Raw genomic sequence first — 22,806 nt, 5'->3', positions numbered from 1 at the left:
ACCTCTGCTGATTTCCTTCGCTCATTTTTTTCCTGTGTCTTCGTCTGATGAGTTTCTCTTCTTTTTGTTTGTTCGTTTGTTTGTTTTGAGACAGTCTCGCTCAGTGGCCCGGCTGGAGTGCAGTGGTATGATCTCAGCTCACTGAAACCTCTGCCTCCAAGGTTCAAGTGATTCTCCTGTCTCAGCCTCCCGAGTGTGCCACCGCACCCAGCTAATTTTTGTATTTTTAGTAGAGACGGGGCTTCACCGTGTTGCCCAGGCTGGTCTCAAACTCCTGACCTCAACTGATCCGCCCATCTCTGCCTCCCAAAGTACAGGGATTACAGGCGTGAACCACCACACCCTACCTGTCTGATGGGTTTCTAAGAACATCTTAAAGGACATTACTTCCTTCTGACGTATCTTTTACCGAGATCCTTCCCAGTTTTTTGCTTAAGGTTAATCCATTTTTTCCTCCACAAAGTAACCTTGTATATGTATTGGTTTTTTCTTTGTTGAGTTCTCCCACTGTTCTGAGGCTTAGAAAGTCCTTTCATACCCAGACATCAGAGAAACAGATCCCGTGAGAGTAACTGGGATTGCAGGTGTGGGCCAGCATGCCCTGTTATCACTCCCTTTCTCTGAGTCAGCTTTTCTCTCTCAGTCTCGTCTACTCCTCGAACTCAGGAAATGTCACTACAGGTGGCCCCAGCTCCCGTTTACCTCCCCATAGGGAGCTCCTCTCTCCAGTTCCAGTTTCAAAACTCCCAAGGAAGCATTCTGGTTCACTCGCTTGGGCCACTGGCCAGAGGGATGGGATACTCTGAAAGATTCAGCTAGAGTCCCGGGCCCAGCCCTGGACCATCACTGTGCCCCCTGGTGAGATGCCAGGGCTGGGATTCAGGGAGAAGAAAGGAGGTTCCCGGACAGTCATTCCTGCCTCCCGCGGCTGCGGGCTCCCTGCCCCCATCCTGTGCACGAAGTGGGAGCTCCCGCTGTCTGGCAGCTCCCGCTGTCTGGCAGCAGCTGCTCTGCAGGGGACAGTCTGGACGGCAGAAAGTTCATCCTTAACCCCAGCCTTCCAGTCAAGGTTCCCACCAGTTTGGGACACCTGCAAGTGTCACATCCCACTGGGTGAAACTCTAAGATCCCTTTTAGGGGATCCCATTCGCTCCCTCCCTTCCGCCACCATGCAGCGCCGAGAAACAGAGCTCTGAACGAACCCTCAGATGTCCGTGCGCTGGGGCCTTTCCAGGACGGCGGCGCCCAGTCGTTTCTGGGTCAGGGCGACGCCTGGAACTGGGCAGGGTCCCTGGCACCGGGATCCCGAAAAGCAGACCTGCTTCTCCCTGTCCAGCCGGTTCCCCTTCCCCTTGCAGTCGGCCCCCTGCATCCGCGTCCTCCCTGCCAGTCGAGGGTCCCCAGCTCCAACTCCACCCTCCCAGCTGTGCGTTCATAGCGACCGCCCTCCCTGTAGGGACGCACGGATCTGGTGGTGGAGTCTTGGCCGGCAGGACTGGACAGGAACCGAAGGGGCGAGGCGGGTCCGGGGGTGGTGCGCTCCAATTGGGTGCTGTCCCCAGGGGGTGGGGCCTGATCCCCTATTTCCCGGCGCGCCGGGATCCTGCCACAGCTGCTGCCCACACCGCGCTCAGCGCCTTCACTGCCATCCCCGCTGTCCTTGCCGCCCCCGCCATGGGCCTAGAGCTGTTTCTTGACCTGGTGTCCCAGCCCAGCCGCGCCGTCTACATCTTCGCCAAGAAGAATGGCATCCCCTTAGAGCTGCGCACCGTGGATTTGGTCAAAGGTGGGCCCAGCCCGTTTCCCCGCGTGTCCACAAACCCAGTGCACCCCCAGGCCCCCGCCCTGCTCTGCCCTGAGCGTCTCGCCGCCCGCACAGCCCCCTCACCTCCTCCTGCAGCGTCTGCCACCAGAGAATGCTGTGGACTGAGTGGCCTTGGAGGGATCACAGCCTCTCTGAACCTTAGCTTGCCTTCTGAAAAGGAGGATAATGTTACCTTCTGCTCTGTAGGGATGGAAAGAAAATACTGAATGGAGTTGACAGAGTTCTTGCGTGGAATGCACGCATATAAATTCACAAAGCCCAGAAGACCTTGGGAAGAAGGACATGCTGTTGTGAGAATTAAGAGATGGGAAGAGATGAGCCACCCCAGTTTGCCTCCCCTCCCCTGGCCCACCAGAGTCCGGCTAGAAAACTTCTCTTTATCCACCTGCTGCACCTGGCCCCACCCACCAAAGCCCCCCAGCTGCCCCGGAATGTGGCAGGGCAGGGAGGCCCAGCCAGGGAGTGAGGCTGATCCAGGCCTCTAGTCCCAGACCTTGCTGTTTCTCAGGGCTGTGGGGCTCCGCTTGGGGAGGAGGAGGGAGGGTGTAGAGGTGCAGCGTTTTTATTCTGAAGACCTTTTCTGACTTCTTCCTCTTCAGGGCAGCACAAGAGCAAGGAGTTCTTGCAGATCAACAGCCTGGGGAAACTGCCGACGCTCAAGGATGGTGATTTCATCTTGACCGAAAGGTGCCCTCCTTCCCTCACCCCTCACCGCATCCGGAGCCCATGTGACCTTGGCTCTCCCCACTGGCCCCGGGCCCCAGTGGCCCTCCCATACCCCATGGGGCAGCGAGGGAGGGGAAAGGCGAGGGATCTGGCCGGGCGCGGTGGCTCACGCCTGTCATCCCGGCACTTCGGGAGGCCAAGGCGGGCGGATCACGAGGTCAGGAGACCGAGACCATCCTGGCTAACACCGTGAAACACCGTCTCTACTAAAAATGGAAAAAAAATTAACCGGGCGTGGTGGCGGGCGTCTGTAGTCCCAGCTACTCTGGAGGCTGAGGCAGGAGAATGGTGTGAACCCAGGAAGCGGAGCTTGCAGTGTGCTGAGATCGCGCCACTGCACTCCAGCCTGGGCGACAGAGCTAGACTCCGTCTCAAAAAGGCCGGGCGCGGTGGTTTACGCCTGTAATCCCAGCACTTTGGGAGGCCGAGGTGGGCGGATCACGAGGTCAGGAGATCGAGACCATCCTGGGTAACACGGTGAAACCCTGTCTCTACTAAAAATACAAAACATTAGCAGGGCGTGGTGGCGGCCGCCTGTAGTCCCAGCTACTGGGGAGGCTGAGGCAGGAGAATGGCGTGAACCCAGGAGGCGGAGCTTGCAATGAGCAGAGATAGCACCACTGCACTCCAGCCTGGGTGACAGAGGGAGCCCACTCCAGCCTGGGCGACAGAGGGAGACTCCGTCTCAAAAAAAAAGGAAAGAAAGAAAGGAGAGGTATCTGGGGAGAAGGTACAGCTTGGGGTGTGACCGGGATGAGCAGGGGCTGACAGAACATGTCCCCCCACCTCTCATCTTCCAGCCTTTTCTGAGCCGCAGGGCCTCTCCACTCCCAGACTGAAGGGTATTAGAAGAGAAGACAAGGGAACATTTTTCCACTGTTGCGCATTTGTTCAACAAATGCTAGCTGAAAAGAGCCTCTAGTGACTTGTTGCAGACTACCCAATCTACCCAGGCCGGGCCTAGAGGCCAATGCCATGGCCCAAGGGCACAGCTCATGGTGAGGTCCAGCTGCTGGGCAGGAAAAGGACAAGAGGTCAGGTGGCTGCAGAAGTGATGGCTGGGGGCCTGTCAGACGGGGGCCAAAGACATTCCTCCCCTCGTGATCCCTGACCCAAGCGCGTGGACATGCAAGGGACTCCACGGAGCATCCACTGTGTGCCAGCCCCATGCAGGGTTCCAGGGGTCCAGGGAGCCTATTCTGAGCTGCACCGCCTCGGACAAGTCACTTGACCATTCTGACCTTGAGTTTTCTCTTGTGCTAAAAGGCTAACAGGAGTGTCTACCTCACAGGGCGGCTGCTGGCATATCACAGAGATGAGGTTCTCAAAATGCAAAGCAGAAGGTCCAGCCAAGAGTCGGTGCCCAAGGCAACAAAGACAGGAGGAGACTCGTAGGAGGAGGGGGTGGTGTTGGGGAGCTGGAGATGGAGGGCGAGGCTGGAGGGCAGTCCTTCAAATGCAGAGAAGCCCCCGGGCCCCACTGGCAGATGGGAGCAGTTAGGGGTAAATGCCTGGTGCCAGTGTCCTTATAGCCACTGCCCATTTGTTCCCAGCTCGGCCATCCTGATTTACCTGAGCTGTAAGTACCAGACGCCGGACCACTGGTATCCATCTGACCTGCAGGCTCGTGCCCGTGTTCATGAGTACCTGGGCTGGCATGCCGACTGCATCCGTGGCACCTTTGGTATACCCCTGTGGGTCCAGGTGAGGAGAGCCATCTGGAGAGTGATTGGCCATCAGGGAGTAGTTGGCAGTAGGCCGGGGCCATAGACTGACCCACTCTCTGCCCCCATCAGGTGTTGGGGCCACTCATTGGGGTCCAGGTGCCCGAGGAGAAGGTGGAACGCAACAGGACTGCCATGGACCAGGCCCTGCAATGGCTGGAGGACAAGTTCCTGGGGGACAGGCCCTTCCTCGCTGGCCAGCAGGTGACACTGGCTGATCTCATGGCCCTGGAGGAGCTGATGCAGGTGTGAGCTCAGCCTGTGGGCAGTGTCCCTCTTCGTGTCACACCCATGAGGCAGACAGAAACACTGAGGCCTGGAGAAAGCCAGAACTTTGCCCAGAATCATAGAGCAAGTCTCTGGATGATCTGGGGCCAGAACCCTGAACTTCTGCCTCCTGCCTGGGTGTGGGGTCTCACCCTGGCTGCTCTTGGGCTCTAAGGCTGAACATACTGCCTGGGCCCCTGTGGTCCATTCACTTAGGGGCTGGGGAATGGACCATGTCTCTGATACTTCTGCCCATGGTTCCAGCATTCGGGTCGGCAGTGACAACTGGGAAAGTTGTATGCCCACAACTTTTTCATCCTTGTCCCTACAGCCGGTGGCTCTCGGCTATGAACTGTTTGAGGGACGGCCACGACTGGCAGCATGGCGTGGACGAGTGGAGGCTTTCCTGGGTGCTGAGCTATGCCAGGAGGCCCACAGCATCATCTTGAGCATCCTGGAACAGGCGGCCAAGAAAACCCTCCCAACACCCTCACCAGAGGCCTATCAGGCTATGCTGCTTCGAATCGCCAGGATCCCCTGAAGGGTCTGGGATGGGGGCCAGGAGATTAGCAACAAGGATTCATTCTGTTACTTACTTGCCCCTTTTTATCTTTCCCTCTTGCCCCAGTCCCTTCTCTCCAGCTTCATGTGAAGCTCTGCACAGACAAGACACTCAGTGTCCTTGGCAGTGCTGCTACTCCTCAGGTGCAGCATACATAACCAGTAAGAGACTAAATCTGCAATATATAAAGAGCTCCTACAAATCAGTAACATGAAGAACACTCAAAAATTGGCAAATGTCATCAGTGTTTTAAACAGAATAAAGATTCCAAACACTTTGAATAGAGAACCAAGAGTTATTGGTTTTACTACATTGTTGTGTTATACATATGGAGTAAAAGTATGTGCTAGTAATCCTCATCATGGTTAATAACAAAGTAACCTCACAATAACGAGTCAACATAATTGTATCACCAGGGCAACAAAATGTTAAGTAAGTAACCAATTCGAATTGCAAACTGTTAAAGGATATAGGCGATGTTTCACAGGGCATAGCAACGGTCTTTGAAGTCTAGGAAACTTAAAAGATTTCTTTTAACAAGCATTCATGTCTTCTAGGACAGTTTTGTAATAACTGCAAATAGTAAGATTATACATTGTCACACAGACCTCCATGTATATCCATGGGATGGACCCCACCACAATGATTTTAACGGAGAGAACTTGATATAAAGAATTGGTAACCAGGCATTAGAGAACTCCGAAGACAGAGAGAATCCAGATTAACACGGAGGTAAACACTGCAAGAAGCTACCACCCCTAGGGCTGGGGGATCAAGGGAGGAATTAGGAAGACCAAGATGCTGGAGGGGCCCTGAAGAATTCAAACCTCCAAGAAAGGTGTTGCTCATCCCCCCTAGTATCACCTTCCAAGAAGGGCAGGTTTCCCCAGTTTGCCCTGAGGTCTTCACAGGAGGTCATGTGGCTGTGGATGCAGTTCTCAAATGTGACAGTAGATGTCACTGCCGACCAATAAACAGGATGTTCCAGACACACTCTGGGCTACCTGCCCACATGTCTTGTGGCCTTACGGCCCCCCATTTCCCAAGCCTGCCCTGTGCCCATCATGTGCCACTCTATCGGGGGACCTGCCCCAATAATCACGTAGGTTCTTTCCTATTTTTCCTAACCGTCAGCCGGCTTGAGAAATAAAGGGAGAGAGTACAAAAGAGAGAAATTGTAAAGCTGGGCATCCGGGGGAGACGTCACACGTTGGTAGGATCCGTGATGCCCCACAAGCCACAAAAACCAGCAAGTTTTTATTAGGGATTTTCAAAAGGGGAGGGAGTGTGCGAACAGGTGTGAGTGACAGACATCAAGTACTTAAGAGGGTAATAGAATATCACAAGGCAAGTGGAGGCAGGGCAAGATCACAGGACCACAGGACCGAGGCAAAATTAAAATTGCTAATGAAGTTTCGGGCACCATTGTCATTGATAACATCTTATCAGGAGACAGGGTTTTGAGACCAACCGGTCTCACCAAAATTTATTAGGTGGGAATTTCCTCTTCCTAATAAGCCTGGGAGTGCTATGGGAGACTGGAGTATATTTCATCTCTGCAGTCTCGACCATAAGAGACAGGCCACGCCCAGGGGTGCTGTTTATAAGCTGATACCTCCTGGTGCGTATTCTCTTTCTCAGGGACGTTCCATGCTGAGAAAAAGAATTCAGCGATATTTCTCCTATTTGCTTTTGAAAGAAGAGAAATGTGGCTCTGTTCCGCCTGGCTCACCAGCAGTCAGAGTTTAAGGTTATCTCTCTTATTCCCTGAACAATTGCTGTTATCCTGTTCTTTTTTCAAGGTGCCCACATTTCATATTGCTCAAACACACATCCTGTACAATGTGTGCAGTTAATGCAATTATTACAGGGTCCTGAGGCCATATACATCCTCCTTGGTTGACAGGATTAAGAGATTAAAGTAAAGACAGGCATAGGAAATCACAACGGTATTGATTGGGGAAGTGATAAGTGTCCATGAAATCTTTACAATTTATGTTTAGAGATTGCAGTAAAGACAGGTATAAGAAATTATAAAAGTATTAATTTGGGGAACTAATAAATGTCCATAAAATCTTCACAATCCACGTTTTTCTGTCATGGCTTCAGCCGGTCCCTCTGTTTGGGGTCCCTGACTTCCCGCAACACCACTCCTAGCCGGAAGTATTCCAAGTAACCATTGCAACTGTCCTGCCTTAAGGGTGCCTGGTGGTGGCTTCTGTCTTAGGTCCCATTCTGGCTCTCTCTTCCAGTGATTTCTCATATTTTGAGGGACACTCTGGCCTGCTTTCCTGGGCCTTTTCCATTACCACCCCCTCTCCCCATCAGGCACTGGGGATGGCGGCCACAGCCTGTGCCTTCTTGATCCATGCTGGCTGCCTTGGGATTGTTCCTTATTGGATGGTTTTGCTTTCAACAGACACTCCAATAAAGTACACGAAATAAAGAATAAAGTTAAACAGTCAGTCCTAGTGCTGTGTAGGTGGCAGTAAGTCTGGGAGAGCGACCTCAGCTGAACTAACCATGCTGTGCATCATTGTCAAGCGGGACCAGCAGGATCCTCAGGTCACCTGGCAGCAGGGGCAGGGAAGGGTCCCTAGAAGTGATCTTGAGTTGCACTTAGTGCTCTTGGCAGAGGGAAGGGCTCGGGCTAGCGCTGGAGGCATGAAGATGGGGTGTGTTCAGGGCTCTTCCGCAGTCCAGGCATGGGAAGGGGACGCTGAGGGCCAAAGGCTGAGGTGACACTGGGAAAGGAACTATAGGAAGGTAAGGACTGGCTTTCGGCCATGTGACTGAATTGCCTGTGTGTGGTGTGTGTGTATGTGTGCGAATGTCAGTGAACTGTGTGTGTGAACGTGAGTGAATTGTGTGACTGTGTTTATGTGTGGGTGTATATGTGTGTGATGTGAGTGAACTGTGTGTATGTGGGTGTATATGTGTGTGATGTGAGTGAACTGTGTGTATGTAGGTGTATATGTGTGTGAATTTGAATGGTGTGTAAATGTGACTGAGCAGTGTGAATTTGTGTATGTGGGTGTATGTGTGTGAATGAGTGAACTGTGTGATTTTGTTGGTGTGAATTGTGTGCCTGTGTGTGTGAGGTGTATGTGTGTGTGTGGGAGTGAACTGTGTGATGACTTTGTATTAATGTCAGTGAATGGTGTGGTTGTGTATGTGGGTGTATATGTGTGTGTATGTATGTGAATTGTGTGTGGGGTTGGTGTGTATGTGTGTCAATGTGAGTGAGTTGTGTGACTTTGTTGAATATGAGTGAGTTGTGTGATTGTGTGGGTGTATATGTGTGTATAGGAGTTAACTGTGTGACTGTGTGTAAATGTTATGATTGTGTGTGTGGGTGTATACGTGTGAATGTGATACATCGTGTGACTGTGGGTGGACGTGGGTGGATGTGTGTGTGAGTGTGGCTGTGTGTCGAACAGTGTGTGAGTGTAAGTGTGCAGGTGGTAGCTGTGGAATTAAGGCACATTAGGGGAATCCTTCCTTGGCTCTGGTCCTTGGTTTCCCTCCTATGAAACAAGTTGGGTGAATTAGGCAGTCTCTGGCATTCCAGGATTTGGTCTCAGGTCTAAACAGAATTTTGTAAAGTGAAAGCAGCATCCCTTGGGCATCCCGGGAGGTGTCCCTGCCCTCCATGGCTCACCGTCTGCCACATGGCCCAGCAGCAGCTACTCTGCAGGGCCATGTGCTGCCATGACAGGTACTGATCCCCATGGGCGCGGGCCTGCAGGTCCTGGAGGTACCAGTGGTCAGGTGCTTTGTACATGCAGCTCATATAGAGCAAGCTAGCCACACTGGGGGGACATGGCAGGGGCAGAAGACATGCCCTGAACACTCTTCAACCGTTTTCTGGGGCATTTTCACTATCCCCATGATGCAGAGGAGGGATGTGAGGCTCAGAGAGGTTAGGTAACTACCCAGGGTCACACAGCCCTACACGGGGCCAGACTGTCATCTCAACTAAGGGCAGCAAGGAAGAAACAAAATGTCATGAACTTCAGCAGGGGCTCAGGGAAGGCTTCCAGGAGGAAGGGGCACCCAGTGTGAGTCTGAAGAACGAGAGCATGTTGGATATCTCCCCAACATATCCAAAGTGTGGACAGGGCCAGGAGCAAGGCCAGCAGGGACAGAGCCTTCCAGGTGACATGGCAGCATTGCTTCCCACCCTGTCCCAACTCCCGTTCACCTATGGTGAAGGGTTGTGCAGTCTGACCCTCAGAGCTCATCATGCCTTTATGGGTGTTGGACCATCCAGTGATCCCAGGCTCTGAATGTGAATCCAGCTCCACCAAGGAGGCACTATGTGGCCTCGGTAAAGGACGCCACCATGCGGCCACCAACCTGGAGGCTGGTTTTGGCTTTCATTTTTCCCACCCACCTCCAACCCTTCAGCAAACCCTGCAGTTAGATTTCAATAAAAGTCAGAACTGACCACAATCCCCCGCAACCCTGCACCACCACCACCTTGGTCTGGGGCTCCAGCGCTGCATGCCAGATGACTGCAGTGGCTTTCTCACCCCTGCCAGGGGGATCCTTTACGACGTAAGTCAGATCACAGTTCTCCTCTGCTCAAAACTCTCCAACAACTCAATCCACCTGCGGTAAGAGCCAAAGCCTTCCCAGTGTCCCATGCTCCCCTCTGTCGTGACCTCCTGCTCTTCCTGCTCACTGCACCCACCCTGGCCCGTTGCTCTCCAGTCTGAACCCCATGCATTGTCCCACCTGGAGCCTTCGCCCTCACTCTTCCCTCCAGTGAGAACACCCTTCTCCTCATGCCTTGCACATTCCTACAGCTCCCTGCTCAGATGCCACCTCCTCCAGGGAGTCTTCCCTCAGCATCCTACTCATAATGACACACACCCCCACTCTTACCCTGTTTATTTTTTCCATGGCATCCATCAACATCCGATATGTTCCATGTTTACATGGGTTACTGTCAGCTCCCCCTTCTATTAATGGAATGTGAGATCCATGAGGAGAAGGACGCAGACACGTTCACTGCTCAAGCCCCAGGGCTTAAATGGGGTCTGGCCCTGGTGGATGTTTAGCAAATAGCCACTGAAGCTCGCTGAGTGGTCCCTCGACTCTCCAGGGAAACAGCACTTGCCCCACAGGATTTGTGGGCAAAATGGTAGCACTAAGATGCCTGGTACAGCCGCTCCTCGAAACTTAGCACTCTCCTTTTTTCGGAGGGGAAGGCTGGCGGTGAGGAGGCCCGGAAGCAGACTGGGCCCTGTGGCCTTGTGCAAGTCCCTCCCCTCCTCCAGCCTCAGTTTCCTCACTTGTACAATGCAGGAGGGGACTTCTATAACCCTTGTCAACACTGGGCACCTCTGCCTGCCTCCACCCATTCTTCACCCTGGGGCTGGTGCAGGGCCCACAGTCCATGATCCAAGCCATCAACAGTGAACAGACAGCCGACTGGCCCCACAAGGCCCGGCAGCAGCCCACGGACCGGTTACCTCTCAGCCAAGGTGAAGTCCCCATCCTTCAAGGCCCGGCACCTTCCTCAGGGGGTTCACCTGGGCAAAGGCATCGCTGTGCTGCTGGCCTGCAGGAAAGATCAGAGAGGTGAGTGGGGATAACCCAGAGTTCTCTGAGGTCTCTGCCCACCCCCACCCCAAAATCCCAGCAGCAGCTTTCTGAGGCCCCTATCTGGGAGGCATCAGGGAAGAGGAAGCCTCTCTGCTAGTCACTGGGTCACAGACCTTGACCCCATCAGAGGGCCATCTTTCCTGTGTCCAGCTCCTTGAAGCATGGCTCAAGGACAATTCCCTGGAGCTGTAATTCACACCCCACCCCCAGCCAGTTCCATCCATAGGTCAGACCCCTCCAGCCTCCTCCCTGGGCTCTAGGCTTGCCCCCTCTGATTCAGCTTCCTATCCCAGCTGGGGACTTAGGCCCTACTGGCCAGGCTGGGTGACCTGTCAATACCCCAGAGTCCCAGCCAAACATGTTCCCAACCCTCAGACCAACCTCATTCTTGCTGGGAATCCCTGCCCCATTCAGCTACTTAGCCTCCGGTGGCTCAGCTCTTCTTGCTTTCTTATGCCAAACTCTCAAGGCTCCCTCCCCAGTGGGGGTTCCCAGGTCTGACTCACTTTAGCACTCTAGGCCAGTGCTAGAGGCCGCATTAGGTGCCTGGTGTTTGGATCAGAGGACCTCAGTCAAGCCAGGCTCCAGTCTGATCATAGGCCTACATGTGGGCCTCTTTGCCCTTCTACTGAATGGACATACACACCCCTGCCCATTCTCCCTCCACAGACTGCTTCTGTGTCCAGCCCCTGTTCTGTAGCAGGTGACTCAAGCTGGTTGTACCAAGGGCAGCAGTTGGGAAGAGTCAGCTGAGCAGGGTCCTCCCTCTGGCCTGCCCAGGGGGCTCTGGCTCTGCTCTCTGCCCTACTGCTTAGTTATAGCCCTGCCTCCTCCACTGAATTGTGCTCCAGCTGCATCTCTGTATGCCAGCCAGACCAGCAAACGCTGGAGCTCAGGGTGAGGGTGCTGGCCTCCCCCACTGCCCTGCCACAGGGCCCTCCAGCCTCTAGCCTCTAGGAGTAGCCCCTTCAGCTGGGTGAGAAGCCCCATGGGATAGAGCAAGTCAGATGCAGGAAAAGGAAAAGGCAGAAGAATGCCAAGAAATACATAAAAGTGGAAGAGACCCAGGGCCAGACATGGTGGTGCATGTCTGTGATCTCAACACTTTAGAAGGAGGAGGCAGGAGGATCACTTGAGCTCAGGAGTTCAAGGTCAGCCTGGTCTACATGGCAAAATCATGCGTCTACACACACCAAAGAAAAAAGTAGCTGGGCACGGGGACGTGCCTGTAGTCCCAACTATTCTACTTAGGAGGAGTAAGTTGGGAGGATCACTTGATCCTGAGAGGTCAAGGCTGCAGTGAGCCGGGATCATGCCACTGCCCTCTAGCCTGGGCTGCAGATTGAGACACTGTAATAAATAAATAAATAAATAAATAAATAAATAAATAAATAAATAAACAAACAAATAATACAAAAGTGGAAGAGACACAGGCAGGGGTAGACAGGGACTATTTTACTTAGGAAACAACGAGGCAGTTTCATTGTTTTTTCCAAGCACATGGGGTGAAGATATTCTTGCCCCACTCCATTTCCCTACCCTCGTTCTGTGCCTGCTGTGCCCTCTCTAAACCTGTATTTTGAAGAATGTTTTGTATTCACAAGCAAAGATCAAGCCTCTATTAAAATAGACAACCAGTGGGGCATGGCGGCTCATGCTTGTAATCCCAACACTTTGGGAGGCCAAGGCAAGAGGATCACTTGAGCCCAGGAGTTCTAGGCCAGCCTCGGAAACACAGCAAGACCTCCTCTCAATAATAATAATAATAATAAATTGGCCAGGCATGTCGGTGGGCACCTGTAGTCCCAGCTACTTGAGGGGCTGAGGCGGGAGGATCGCTTAAGCCTGGAAGGTCGAGGCTGCAGTGAGCCATGATTGTGCCACTGCACTCCAGCCTGAGTGACAGAGTTAGATGCTGTCTCCAAAAAGTAAAAATAATAACATAGATAATTATGTAATAGTTTCCACACCGGAGAGTCTGATTCTTCGTGTTAGTCTGCATTCTTGGCCCAACTGCAAAGCAGCGGGGACAGGCAGGGATCCGCGGCCAATATCCCCTGGGCCTGCCTGCCCAGCCCAGCTTTGGTCAGCTCCACTGTGCGAAGCTCGAAGGGGATGCCATTCTTGGCGAAGATGTAGACTGAACGGCAGGGCTGGGACAGCAGACCCATGGCGGGGGCAATGGGGTGGGGCGTGGGAGGGCAGACCTAAACCCAGGGGACGGGCCCTGGGGACAAACCCGGGGACAGGCCCGGGAACAGGAACTGCGGGCAGGAATGGCTGGTTGGGGGCGGCGGACAGGAACGGCTGGGGGTAGGTGAGGGTTGGGCAGGAACTGCTGGGTCACCGAGCCTGCAGCGGTGCACCTCACCAGGAGCCCCGAGTCCGGCCACGCCCTCTTCACTCATCCCTTGGCTCCTAGAACTTCGGGTCAATCAGTGGCGTGTCTGCTCTCTCACCACCCCTTTCTGGGAATCTAGGCTGCAGGTATATTTCCCACTAAAAGGGAAGAGGAGAGGCTGGGCGCGGTGGCTCACGCCTGTAATCCCAGCACTTTGGGATACCGAGGGGGGCGGATCACGAGGTCAGGAGATCGAGACCATACTGGCTAAAACGGTGAAACCCGTCTCTACTAAAAATACAAAAAATTAGCCGGGCGGGGTGGCGGGCGCCTGTAGTCCCAGCTACTCGGGAGGCTGGGGCAGGAGAATGGCGTGAACCCGGGAGGCGGAGCTTGCAGTGAGCCGAGCTCACGCCACTGCACTCCAGCCTGGGCGGCAGAGCCATACTCCGTCTCAAAAAATAAAAAAAAAGGAAGAGGAGAAAGGAGGTGCAGCAGCCTCCTTGCCCAGTGCCTGGGCCCAGTGCCCAGGACGGAGGCCAGAGAGGAAGGGTGGCTGACTGCCTGCGGGGCTGCCAGCCCCACACCTCATGAAGGAATGAGCTGTCCCTCCCCAGTTGCTGGGGTCATATTTGTTACACTCTAGCTAACGCCTCCCCGAGATGGCTGAGGCCCTGTGAGGCCTATCCAGAGGTTTCCAACAGTGCCTGGCATTGCACAGTAAATTAATCACCATGACACGAGTTTTGCAAAAGAGAAAAGATTTATTCACAGGGCACCAAGCAAGGATGTGGGATAGTAGCTCTCAAATCCACCTTCCCGAAAATAAGGCTTAGGGATAAGCCTTGCTTCCAAGCAGTAGAGCACAGGCCCCAGCCACGCTCCAGGGTAGGGGACCATACAAGGATGTGAATAGCAGTGTCGGCCTTGTGGGCCTACAACGCAGAAGGGCCATGCACTTGGTTTAAAGCTTTGCTGTTGCCATCTTAACATTCTTAACAAGTTAAAAATAAGGGTCCCCACATTTTCATTTATAGCCAGTCCTGTCCAAGGAGTTCAAAGATCTCATGAGGGTGGACAGGGCACTGTCTGCTCTGGGCAGTGATGGGACCACTAACAGTTGTTCTCCAGTCTCCCAGCGCCTACCCCAGGGCCACACCTTCCCCTGGGCTCTACTATTCTTTTTTTTTTTTTTTTTTCGAGACAGGGTCTTGCTGTTGCCCAGGCTGGAATGAGTGCAGTGGTACAAACTTAGCTTACTGCAGCCTCAACCTGGGCTCAAACAATCCTTCTGCCTCACCCTCCCATGTAGCTCAGACCACATGCGCATGCCACCAGTCTGGGCTAATTTTTTGACTTTGTAGAGACGGGGTCGCACTTTGTTTCCCAGGGTGCTCCCGAATTCCTTGGCTCAAGTGATCCTCCCACCTCAGCCCCCCACAGTGCTGGGATTATAGGTGTGATCCACCACCCCTGGCCTCTCTCACATTCTTGACATTTAAAGTTACCATCATTGACAAGGAACATGGGTACACTCCAATTTACTCAAGAAAAAGCTCTTTTCTCCATTGAAGAGATATGTGGCCTAACTGCTTCCTACTCTAGTTGAGTCTTCTTGTTGTTTCCTTTTTCTTCTTCTCTCTTGTTTTTTAGAGACGAGGTCCTGCTGTGTTGCCCAGGCTGGTCTCAAAGTTCTACCCTCAAGAGACCCTCCTGCCTTGTCCTCCCAAAGTGTTGGGATTACAGGTGTGAGCCACTCTGTCCAGCCTCAAACTGTGGTCATTAGATCAGCAGCAGTAGCAGCCTTGCCTGGGAGCTTGTTAGAAATATACTAACAGGCTCCCACCCCCAAACCCAGACCTACTGAATCAGACAGAGTTTATTTTCATAAGATCCTCAGGTGATCCAAATGCACCTTAAACTTTGAGGAGCTTTGATCCAGAACCTGAGGTGGAGGCCCCTGGGGGCCACTCTGTTCCTCACAGACTGCAAGATATGTTTTTTTCTTGCCTCTTCTCTCTGTCCCAATGTCTCCTTCTCTCTGTGTCTGACCCTGAGGACCCTATGACATCCTCCCAGGGGAGTTTCCACTGCCAAAGGCCTGATTCTCTAGAATCTGATGGGCTCCTCTAGACACCAATCTCTACCTGGGCTCTTGTTGAAGAAGCCAATCAGCTCATTGGTTGGAGATCACGTGATATACAACATGGCTGCCTTCCAAGCCTTATGTGTGGACAAGGAGATAGGGACAAGTAGGCATATCATGTTCTGATACCTGGGCCATCGTCTCTCCTTAGGCCCCCAGGATACACGTTTATGGGGAGTTTTCCTCCCTTCCCCCAATATGGTCACTCATAACTTTACACCCACCAAACAGGAGTGGAAGCTACAGGGTTTCATGTAAACAATAGGCTAGGCTGTGGGGCTGAGTAAAAGGCACTGGACTGTGGTAGGTCTTACTCCAAGATGGCCAAATGGAAGGGCTTTTAGCTTTCTTTGTTTTTGTTTTATATTTTGAGCTATAATATTCAATTTCTACACTTCAGAATAAAAAGAGCCACAATTTATGATTCATATTTTTTGTAGCTGCTTCCCTATGCTTTTGAACAATGTAATCATATTTTCATTATCAGATATAATTCCCATACCATAATATCCACCCTTTCAAAGTATACTTTAAAATTCAATTGGTTTAAAGCCAATTCAGTGGTTTTTAGTATATTAACAAAGTTTTGTCACCATCACAGTTATCTAATTCTAGATCATTTTCATCACCCAAAAAAGAAACTCTGTACCCAATAAAGAGTCACTCCCCATTCCCCTCTTCCCCTAGCCCCTGGTTACCATTCATCTACTTTCTACCTCTGTGGATAGGAAGTAGCTGCCTATTCTGGAGATTTCATTCAAATGGAATAATGAAATATGTGACCTTTTATGACTGGCTTCTTTCATTTAGCATAATGGTGTCAAGGTTCATCCATGTTGTAGCATATAACGGTACTTCATCCCTTCTTATGGCTGAATAATATTCAATTTTATGGACTTTTTAGCAAAACATTCTAATTTTTACTTCTCTACTGTGCTTATTGTTTGTCTTTCTCCACAACAATGTGAGCACTAAAGGCAGACATTTTTGCCTATTTTGTTCACTACTGCTTTTTCTGCACCAAAAGCATTGCCTGGTTGTGGGTACTTTTCTAGTTTTAGGAAGGAGAAGACAAGATATAGGTCCTGACTCTGGTTCTGCCTCTCATTCATATGCTACTCTGAGGATCCCTTCCCCTTGAAGAACTTGTTTCTTCATCTACAAAATGGGGATAATACTACTACTCATCAGGGTGGTTGTGAGGATTAAACAAGGTAAGAGATGTAAAATTGCATGTTAGTTATCAGATAGATTTGTGTTCCCATCTAGCTCCAACGAGGGAGAGGATTTGCTCTAGTCTGTCCCTCCGGGCTCTGGGCTTCTAATGGGCAGACAGCTTCCTCCATGATGTTTGTAGCTGTAAAGCCTGGCATAGTCCCTCAAGACAAGTTTTTTTTTTTTTTGAGTCGGAGTATCGCTCTATCACCAGGCTGGAGTACAGTGGTGCGATCTTGGCTCACTGCAATCGCCGCTTCCTGGGTTCAAGTGATTCTCCTGCCTCAGCCTCCCAAGTAGCTGGAATTACAGGCACACGCCACCACACTCAGCTAATTTTAAGACAGGCTTTTGGATTTGAACTGCTGATGGTCTTCCATGAACAATTCAACAGAAACCCAGTAGCGCACACTTCCTTGTATGCACTTGCTCCCTCTCTTTACATTTATTACACATTTAATGCTACCTAATAATTCCCTATACTTATCTTTTACTTTATCCAATCATTCAACAGATTCCAACCGAAATACATAGAAGAGTGATATTCCAACTTCATCAGACCCTGAGATTCTATTTTTAACATTTCTTCCATGGATTGTTGAATGTTTCCAATGATTGATCCACCTTCCCTTGGCCTTTTCTACATTACAGATTTGGTTGCATGTCCTTGTCTATGTTGCCAAACTTGCCTCATAGACCCAGCTTGAACACAAGATGGGTGCTTGCTGAAGAGCAGGACTCATTCTGTTGAACCTGCATGTTTTCTCAGGTCAGATTGCTTGGTGGCACTTCTTTAATTTCTTTCAACAGCACATTGTAGTTTGCTGTGTTGAAGTGTTGCTTTTCTTTGGTTAAATTTATTCTAACTATTTTATTCTTTTTGATGCCATTATAAATGGAAGTGTGGTTTTAATTTTGTTTTTGATCCTTTATTGCAAATGTATACTACTGATTTTTGTGTATTAATCTTGTATCCTGCAACCTTGCTGAACTTATTTTATTTTATTGAGATGGAATCTCAGTCGGTCACCCAGGCTGGAGAGCAGTGGCACAATCTTGGCACACTGCAACCTCCACCTCCTGGGCTCTAGTGATTCTCCTGTCTCCACCTCCCGAGTAGCTGGGACTACAGGCATGCGCCACCACGCCCAGCTAATTTTTGTATTTTTAGTAGAGACGGGGTTTCACCATATTGGACAGGCCGGTCTCAAACTCCTGACCTCATGATCTGCCTGCCTCAGCCTCCCAAAGTGCTGGGATTACAGGTGTGAGCCACTGTGCCCAGCCTTGAACTTGTTTATTAGCTCTAATGGTTAAGTGAGTTCCTTAAGAATTCCTATAATGTCATCTGTGAATAGAGATGGTTTTACTTCTTTCTTTCTGATCTAGATTCCACCTTGTTCCTTTTTCTTGCCTAATTGCCCTAATAAGTAGAAGTAGTGTGAATGAACATTCTTGTCCTGTTCCTGATCTTAGGGGGGAAATGCTCCATCTTTCACAATGAGTGAAGTGTGGTGTTAGTTATAGGTTTTTCATAGATGCTTTTTGCCAAGTTGAGGAAGTTCCTTTCTCATCTTCATCTGCTGAGTAATTTTATCGTAAAAGGATGTTAGATTTTGTCAAATGCCTTCTCTGCATTAGGATGATCATGTGACTTTTTATTAACATGGTATGCTACATTGATTGATTTTTGTATGTTGAACTGCATTTGTACTCCTGGGATAAATCCTACCTGGTCAAGGTGTATGATCCTTTTAATATGCGGCTGGATTTGATTTGCTAATATTTTGTGAGGATTTTTACATCTATATTTATAAGGATATTGCTTTGTAACTTTATTTTCTTGTAATGTCTTTTTCTGTCTTTGGTATCAGAGTAATTCTGGCCTCATAGTATGAGTTGAAAAATATTTCTTCCTGTTCTATTTTTTGGAAGAGTTTGTGAAGGCTTTGTGTTAGTTCTTCAAGCTTTTGGTTGAATTCACCAGTAAAACCATCTGGTCCTGGGCTTTTCTTTGTGGAATTTTTAAAAATAATTAATATTTTAATCTCTTTATTTGTTACAGGTCTATTACAATTTTATCTTCCTTCTTAAGTCAGTTTTGGTAGATTGTGTGTTTCTAAAATTTTCCCATTTCATCTAGGTTGTCTAAATTGTCCACATATAATTATTCATAGTATTTCTTTCTAAACTTTTGTATTTCTCTATGACCAATGTGATGTCTCCATTTTCTTTCTTTCTGGTTTCCTTTTAGTTTCTTCATTTTTGTTTTTGTTTGTTTTTTGAGATAAGGTTCTTCTATGTTGCTCAGGCTGGAGTGCAGTGGTGCAATCATAGCTCGGTGTAACCTTGAACTCTTGGACGCGAGTGATCCTCCCACCTCATCCACCCAGTTAGCTAAGACTACAGGCATGCACCACCACACCCAGCTAATTTTTTAAAAATATATATTTTTTAGAAAAAAGTCTCATTGTGTTACCCAGGCTGGTCTCAATCTCCTGGCCTCAAGTGATCCTTCTGCCTCTGCTTTCCAAAGTGCTGGGATTACAGGTGTGAGCCATTGCACCCAGCCTCCACTTTCTTTCTTGGTGAATAATTTGACCCTTATTTTTTTCACTTGGCTATTCTAAGTAAAGGTTTGCCAATTTTGTTGATCTTTGCAAAGATCCAATTTTTGGTTTTATTGATTTTATTGCTTTTCTATTTTCTATTTCATTTATCTCCATTCTAATCTTTATTATTTCCTGTTTTCTACTGGTGTTGGGTTAGGTTTGCTCTTATTTTTCTAGTTCCTTAAGGTGTAAAGTTAGGTTATTGATTCAAGATCGTTGTTCTTTAACTTATGTGTTTACAGCTATAAATTTTGCTCTTAGCACTGCTTCTGCTGCATCCTATAAATCTGGGCATGTTGTGTTTTCATTTTTATTCGCTCAAGATACTTTTTGATGTCCCTTGTGATTTCTTCTTTAACCCATTGTTTGTTTAAGAGTGTGCTGTTTAATTTCTATGTGCTTGTGAATTTTCTAGTTTTCCTTCTGTTCTTGATTTTTCACTTTATTCCACTGTGTCCAGAGAACATACTTTGTGTGATTTCAATCATCTTAAATTTGAGACTTAGGACCAAATATATGCTCTATACTGGAGAATATTCCATGTGCTCTTTAGAAGAATGCTTATTCTGCTCCTGTCGGGTGGAACGTTCTGTTCATGTCTAGTGTATGCGATTGGTTAATCGTGCTTTTCAAATTCCCTATTTCCTTGATGGTCTTCTGTAGTTTTTCTATTACTGAAAGTGGAGTATTGAAGTCACCAACTATTATTACTCACAATGTAACCATATTTAACCCTTTACTTTTAAAATTCTTTTTGGAAACTGGAAGGATCTGTAACCACCACCCACTCCCACATCAGACCCTATGCATATGCCAACTGTCTGCTGCTCAGCAGCTGTGATGGTTGTTCCAGTTCTTTATTAGGCAAAGAACAGTTTTTTGTTTTTGTTTTTGTTTTTGTTTTAGTATTTCCTTTAAGGAAGGTGGCTCAGATTGCTAAGCCAGCCAGGCCCTGCGGGACAGGCTGCGCCTAGGGTCACCTGCTCTTCTTCAGCAACTCAGAAATATTCTCCTTGACCATTGAATCCAGTGTTGAAAAGTCCCAGTCGGCCAACTGCATTAGTCGATCATGGGCCTCCCTAAAGAGGCCAGAGCTGATATTGAGCTCCACCCGCATACGCCACTCAGCTAGCTTGGAGCTGTTGAGGAAGACATTATAGTTGGCTGCCATGGGCTGTGGATAGACGAAGACAAAGACGTGGTCAGTCTGGGGACCAGCCTCACCCGTGTCCTCTCCCACAGCCTCAGGCCCATGCGCCCAACATGTACCTATGCAAAGAATTAGGCTGCTGACCCCCAAGGCCTGAGCAAGGGGTCACAGACTATGTAATAGATGTAGGTGGGGATGGAGGATCCAGAATCCCTCAGAGTCCTTAGTCACCGGTCTTCTTGCTCCAAGCCTTCTGAACCATGCTGAGAGGGCTCCTGGCCCAGGCACCTCCCACTTCTCCAGCCTGCGATCTCGCATGAATCCTGCCTTCTTCCAGGGAAACCCCTTATCCCAGGTGTGTATATGTGGATGAGGGAGAGAACTCAGGTTTTTTCCTCCATGTTTAGCCTCCCACTGTGATCAAGCTCAGGGGCTAAGATGGGAGACCTGGCGGGCAGTCTACCCTGCAGTTTGGCTGGCTCACTAAGAGTGTACCCTGTAGTTTGGTTTGCACCCAAGATCTTTGGGAAGGCCAAGAATGGGTGTGTGTGGGTGAAATGTAAGGGGTGGGGACGAAGCATATGGCTGAACCCTTGGGGCAGGCCAGAATGATTTTTCCTGGTGCTGGTCTGCCCTGCAAACAGACCAAGGAGACTAATTTTCATATCAGCCAGAGATCTCTGGGATAAGGAAAAGAATACTGCATTTTCTGGTCAATCCACCAGGACCCCAGGTCCCTCCTCTCGGGCATATCTCTGGCTGATATGCAAATTAGTCTCTTTGGTCAGTGTGCAGTGCCCTAGCTGGTGTGCAGGATGGCCAGTTGAGACCCTGGCCAGTGTCTTGACAAGCAGAACTGGTCACCCTCCCCTGCATGTAGAGGCCACATAAATGCCCCACACTCAGGTGTGCCTCCAAATGCACAGTGGATGCCCCTCAGACCCAGCCACGAGAGCTGTCCTCCAGAGCTGTCTGTCTGGAGCTCTGGGAAACAGGCAGGGCCAGAAGGACACCCAGGAAGCCAGTGAACATTTCCTGGAGAGTCCAGCAAGAGGAGGAGGTATCTGGGATGCTGGTGGATTGAGCAGGAAATGCAGTGTTCTTCTCTATCCCAGGCTCACCCTCCAGGTCCTCCCACACCGAAGAATCTTTGTCAAGTGTGGAGAACTGTGATCCTTCCTGATTCATAACATTCTGTGCTTCCTGTTGCCCCCAGATTGAGTCCAGGGCCCCAGACCTCGCTCCCGCAGCCCCCATGACAGCTCTGCTTGCCTTTCCCACCTCACCAGCCTATCCTCAAGTGATGGCCCCATTGGTCACAGAGGAGTCCTACCTCTGCCCAGGGTCTACCCCTCCTCCAACCCACTCCACACCTGCATCATCTCCACCACGGCCACCAAGTCAGCCAGTGAGATTTGGTTCCCGGTGATGAACATCTTATCCTGCAGAAACTTCTCCTCGAAGAGCTGCAGGCTGTTCTTCACCTCTTCCACTGCATGCTCCATCTTCTCAGCTGAAACTTCCTCCCCTGTTATCTTTGGGATCAGCAACTGGCCAGGGTTGGGAAGAGGAGGGAAGAGGAGGCTGCACTCCAGGGCCACCTGCCCTGCCAGGTCTCTGTACTCTTGTCTGCTGGATAGATATTGAACACTTCCCAGGATATAAAGCAGTTTCACCTCTTTTAGCAGTTCTGATTGGTGGAAGTTGCCGGGAACCATGTGTTCACAAGGATTTGGGGAGCTCAGCAGGCATAAGTCCTGTGATTGATTAGTGATGTCTGTCACAGGCATAGAATTCAAAGTAGAGACACATGTACTGGTTATTTGTCATCTTCCAATTTTCTATAGGCCTTTACTCTTTTTTGTTTTTGTTTTTTGAGATGGAGTCTCACTCTGTCGCCCAGGCTGGAGTGCAGTGGCACAATCTTGGCTCACTGCCAACTCCACCTCCTGGGTTCAAGCAATTGTCCTGCCTCAGCGTCCTGAGTAGCTGGGATTACAGGTGCCCATCACCACACCCAGCTAATAGTTTTGTATTTTTAGTAGAGATGGTGTTTCACAATGTTGGCAAGGTAGGTCTTGAACTCCTGACCTCAAGTGATCCGCCCGCCTCGGCCTCCCAAAGTACTGGGATTACAGTTGTGAGCCACCGTACCCGGCCTTCTGTGGGCCTTTTGACGCTGAGATTCTCTAGTTCAGAATGAAATGCCTCGAATGCTGTCCTGGGTGAGTCACATCAGCCCCTCCCGTATGCCCTTCCCCTCGCCCTAATAAGACTCTTTCATGCCCATTGTTTCAGTCCACACTCCTGACGGCTCTGTAAGGCGGGCAGGAGAAGGAGCTGAGGAAATGAGGCCCAGAGAGGGAGGGAGACTTGCTTGAGGTCGCCGGCAGTCAGCAGGGCCAGAACTGGCCTCCAGCCTTCCTGACTTCCCTGTGCCCGTGTCCCCAAGCCCCAGAAGTGGCCCTGCTCACCTTGAGCCAGACTATCTTCTTCATGGGCAGCTGAAAGGCCGTGTGTTGCCAAGCCACGAACTCATCCACACGGGCACGTGCGTGCGGGTCTGGCGGGCACCAGTGCGATGGTGCGCTGTACTTGCGGCACAGGTAGTAAAGGATGGCCGCG

General features: G+C 50.2%; 1 protein-coding gene and 1 pseudogene across 3 annotated transcripts, besides 6 other annotated features; one reads left to right on the top strand and one right to left on the bottom strand.

Annotated features, from left to right (window-relative positions):
* Window positions 1–1,599: 1,599 nt before the first annotated feature.
* On the top strand, window positions 1,600–5,392 carry GSTT2B (glutathione S-transferase theta 2B). Of its 2 annotated transcripts, none has more exons than NM_001363804.1 (5): window positions 1,600–1,786; window positions 2,425–2,512; window positions 4,105–4,255; window positions 4,348–4,479; window positions 4,874–5,392. In NM_001363804.1, the coding sequence occupies exons 1-5, from the start codon at window positions 1,675–1,677 to the stop codon at window positions 5,081–5,083; spliced, it is 693 nt and encodes a 230-aa protein (NP_001350733.1). In that variant the 5' UTR covers window positions 1,600–1,674; the 3' UTR covers window positions 5,084–5,392. The 2 variants fall into 2 exon arrangements, with proteins under 2 accessions (NP_001350733.1, NP_001074312.1); NM_001080843.4 differs by having other exon boundaries at window positions 1,611–1,786; window positions 4,348–4,521.
* Window positions 2,725–3,390: an enhancer, noted in NCBI's record as "H3K27ac-H3K4me1 hESC enhancer chr22:24301603-24302268 (GRCh37/hg19 assembly coordinates)". NCBI's record gives its function as "activates a minimal SCP1, AML or CMV promoter by ChIP-STARR-seq in naive H9 embryonic stem cells {active_cell/tissue: H9 hESC(naive)}" and the evidence as "EXISTENCE:reporter gene assay evidence [ECO:0000049][PMID:30033119]".
* Window positions 5,707–6,314: an enhancer, noted in NCBI's record as "OCT4-NANOG-H3K27ac hESC enhancer chr22:24298679-24299286 (GRCh37/hg19 assembly coordinates)". NCBI's record gives its function as "activates a minimal SCP1, AML or CMV promoter by ChIP-STARR-seq in primed H9 embryonic stem cells {active_cell/tissue: H9 hESC(primed)}" and the evidence as "EXISTENCE:reporter gene assay evidence [ECO:0000049][PMID:30033119]".
* Window positions 6,315–6,922: an enhancer, noted in NCBI's record as "OCT4-NANOG-H3K27ac hESC enhancer chr22:24298071-24298678 (GRCh37/hg19 assembly coordinates)". NCBI's record gives its function as "activates a minimal SCP1, AML or CMV promoter by ChIP-STARR-seq in naive and primed H9 embryonic stem cells {active_cell/tissue: H9 hESC(naive and primed)}" and the evidence as "EXISTENCE:reporter gene assay evidence [ECO:0000049][PMID:30033119]".
* Window positions 6,923–7,530: an enhancer, noted in NCBI's record as "OCT4-NANOG-H3K27ac-H3K4me1 hESC enhancer chr22:24297463-24298070 (GRCh37/hg19 assembly coordinates)". NCBI's record gives its function as "activates a minimal SCP1, AML or CMV promoter by ChIP-STARR-seq in primed H9 embryonic stem cells {active_cell/tissue: H9 hESC(primed)}" and the evidence as "EXISTENCE:reporter gene assay evidence [ECO:0000049][PMID:30033119]".
* Window positions 9,765–10,456: an enhancer, noted in NCBI's record as "H3K4me1 hESC enhancer chr22:24294537-24295228 (GRCh37/hg19 assembly coordinates)". NCBI's record gives its function as "activates a minimal SCP1, AML or CMV promoter by ChIP-STARR-seq in naive H9 embryonic stem cells {active_cell/tissue: H9 hESC(naive)}" and the evidence as "EXISTENCE:reporter gene assay evidence [ECO:0000049][PMID:30033119]".
* Window positions 10,457–11,148: an enhancer, noted in NCBI's record as "NANOG-H3K4me1 hESC enhancer chr22:24293845-24294536 (GRCh37/hg19 assembly coordinates)". NCBI's record gives its function as "activates a minimal SCP1, AML or CMV promoter by ChIP-STARR-seq in naive H9 embryonic stem cells {active_cell/tissue: H9 hESC(naive)}" and the evidence as "EXISTENCE:reporter gene assay evidence [ECO:0000049][PMID:30033119]".
* Window positions 20,008–22,806, bottom strand: LOC100652871 (glutathione S-transferase theta-4-like; annotated as a pseudogene). Its single transcript, NR_171772.1, has 3 exons — window positions 22,656–22,806; window positions 21,555–21,731; window positions 20,008–20,205 (listed from the first exon to the last, which is right to left on the bottom strand). The product of NR_171772.1 is annotated as a glutathione S-transferase theta-4-like (transcript).

The sequence above is a fragment of the Homo sapiens genome, chromosome 22, assembly GCF_000001405.40.
Source record: "Homo sapiens chromosome 22, GRCh38.p14 Primary Assembly".
In the NCBI taxonomy this organism is placed as follows: Eukaryota; Metazoa; Chordata; class Mammalia; order Primates; family Hominidae; genus Homo; species Homo sapiens.
This window is presented reverse-complemented; position numbering and strand designations above follow the sequence as displayed.

Bases quoted from the DNA above. Each gene is read 5' to 3' on its own strand.
- GSTT2B (NM_001080843.4), top strand. From the start codon at position 1,675: ATGGGCCTAGAGCTGTTTCTTGACCTGGTGTCCCAGCCCAGCCGCGCC. The intron at 1,787-2,424 runs GTGGGCCCAGCC...CTTCCTCTTCAG, and splicing joins CACCGTGGATTTGGTCAAAG to GGCAGCACAAGAGCAAGGAG. The intron at 4,256-4,347 runs GTGAGGAGAGCC...TGCCCCCATCAG, and splicing joins GTATACCCCTGTGGGTCCAG to GTGTTGGGGCCACTCATTGG.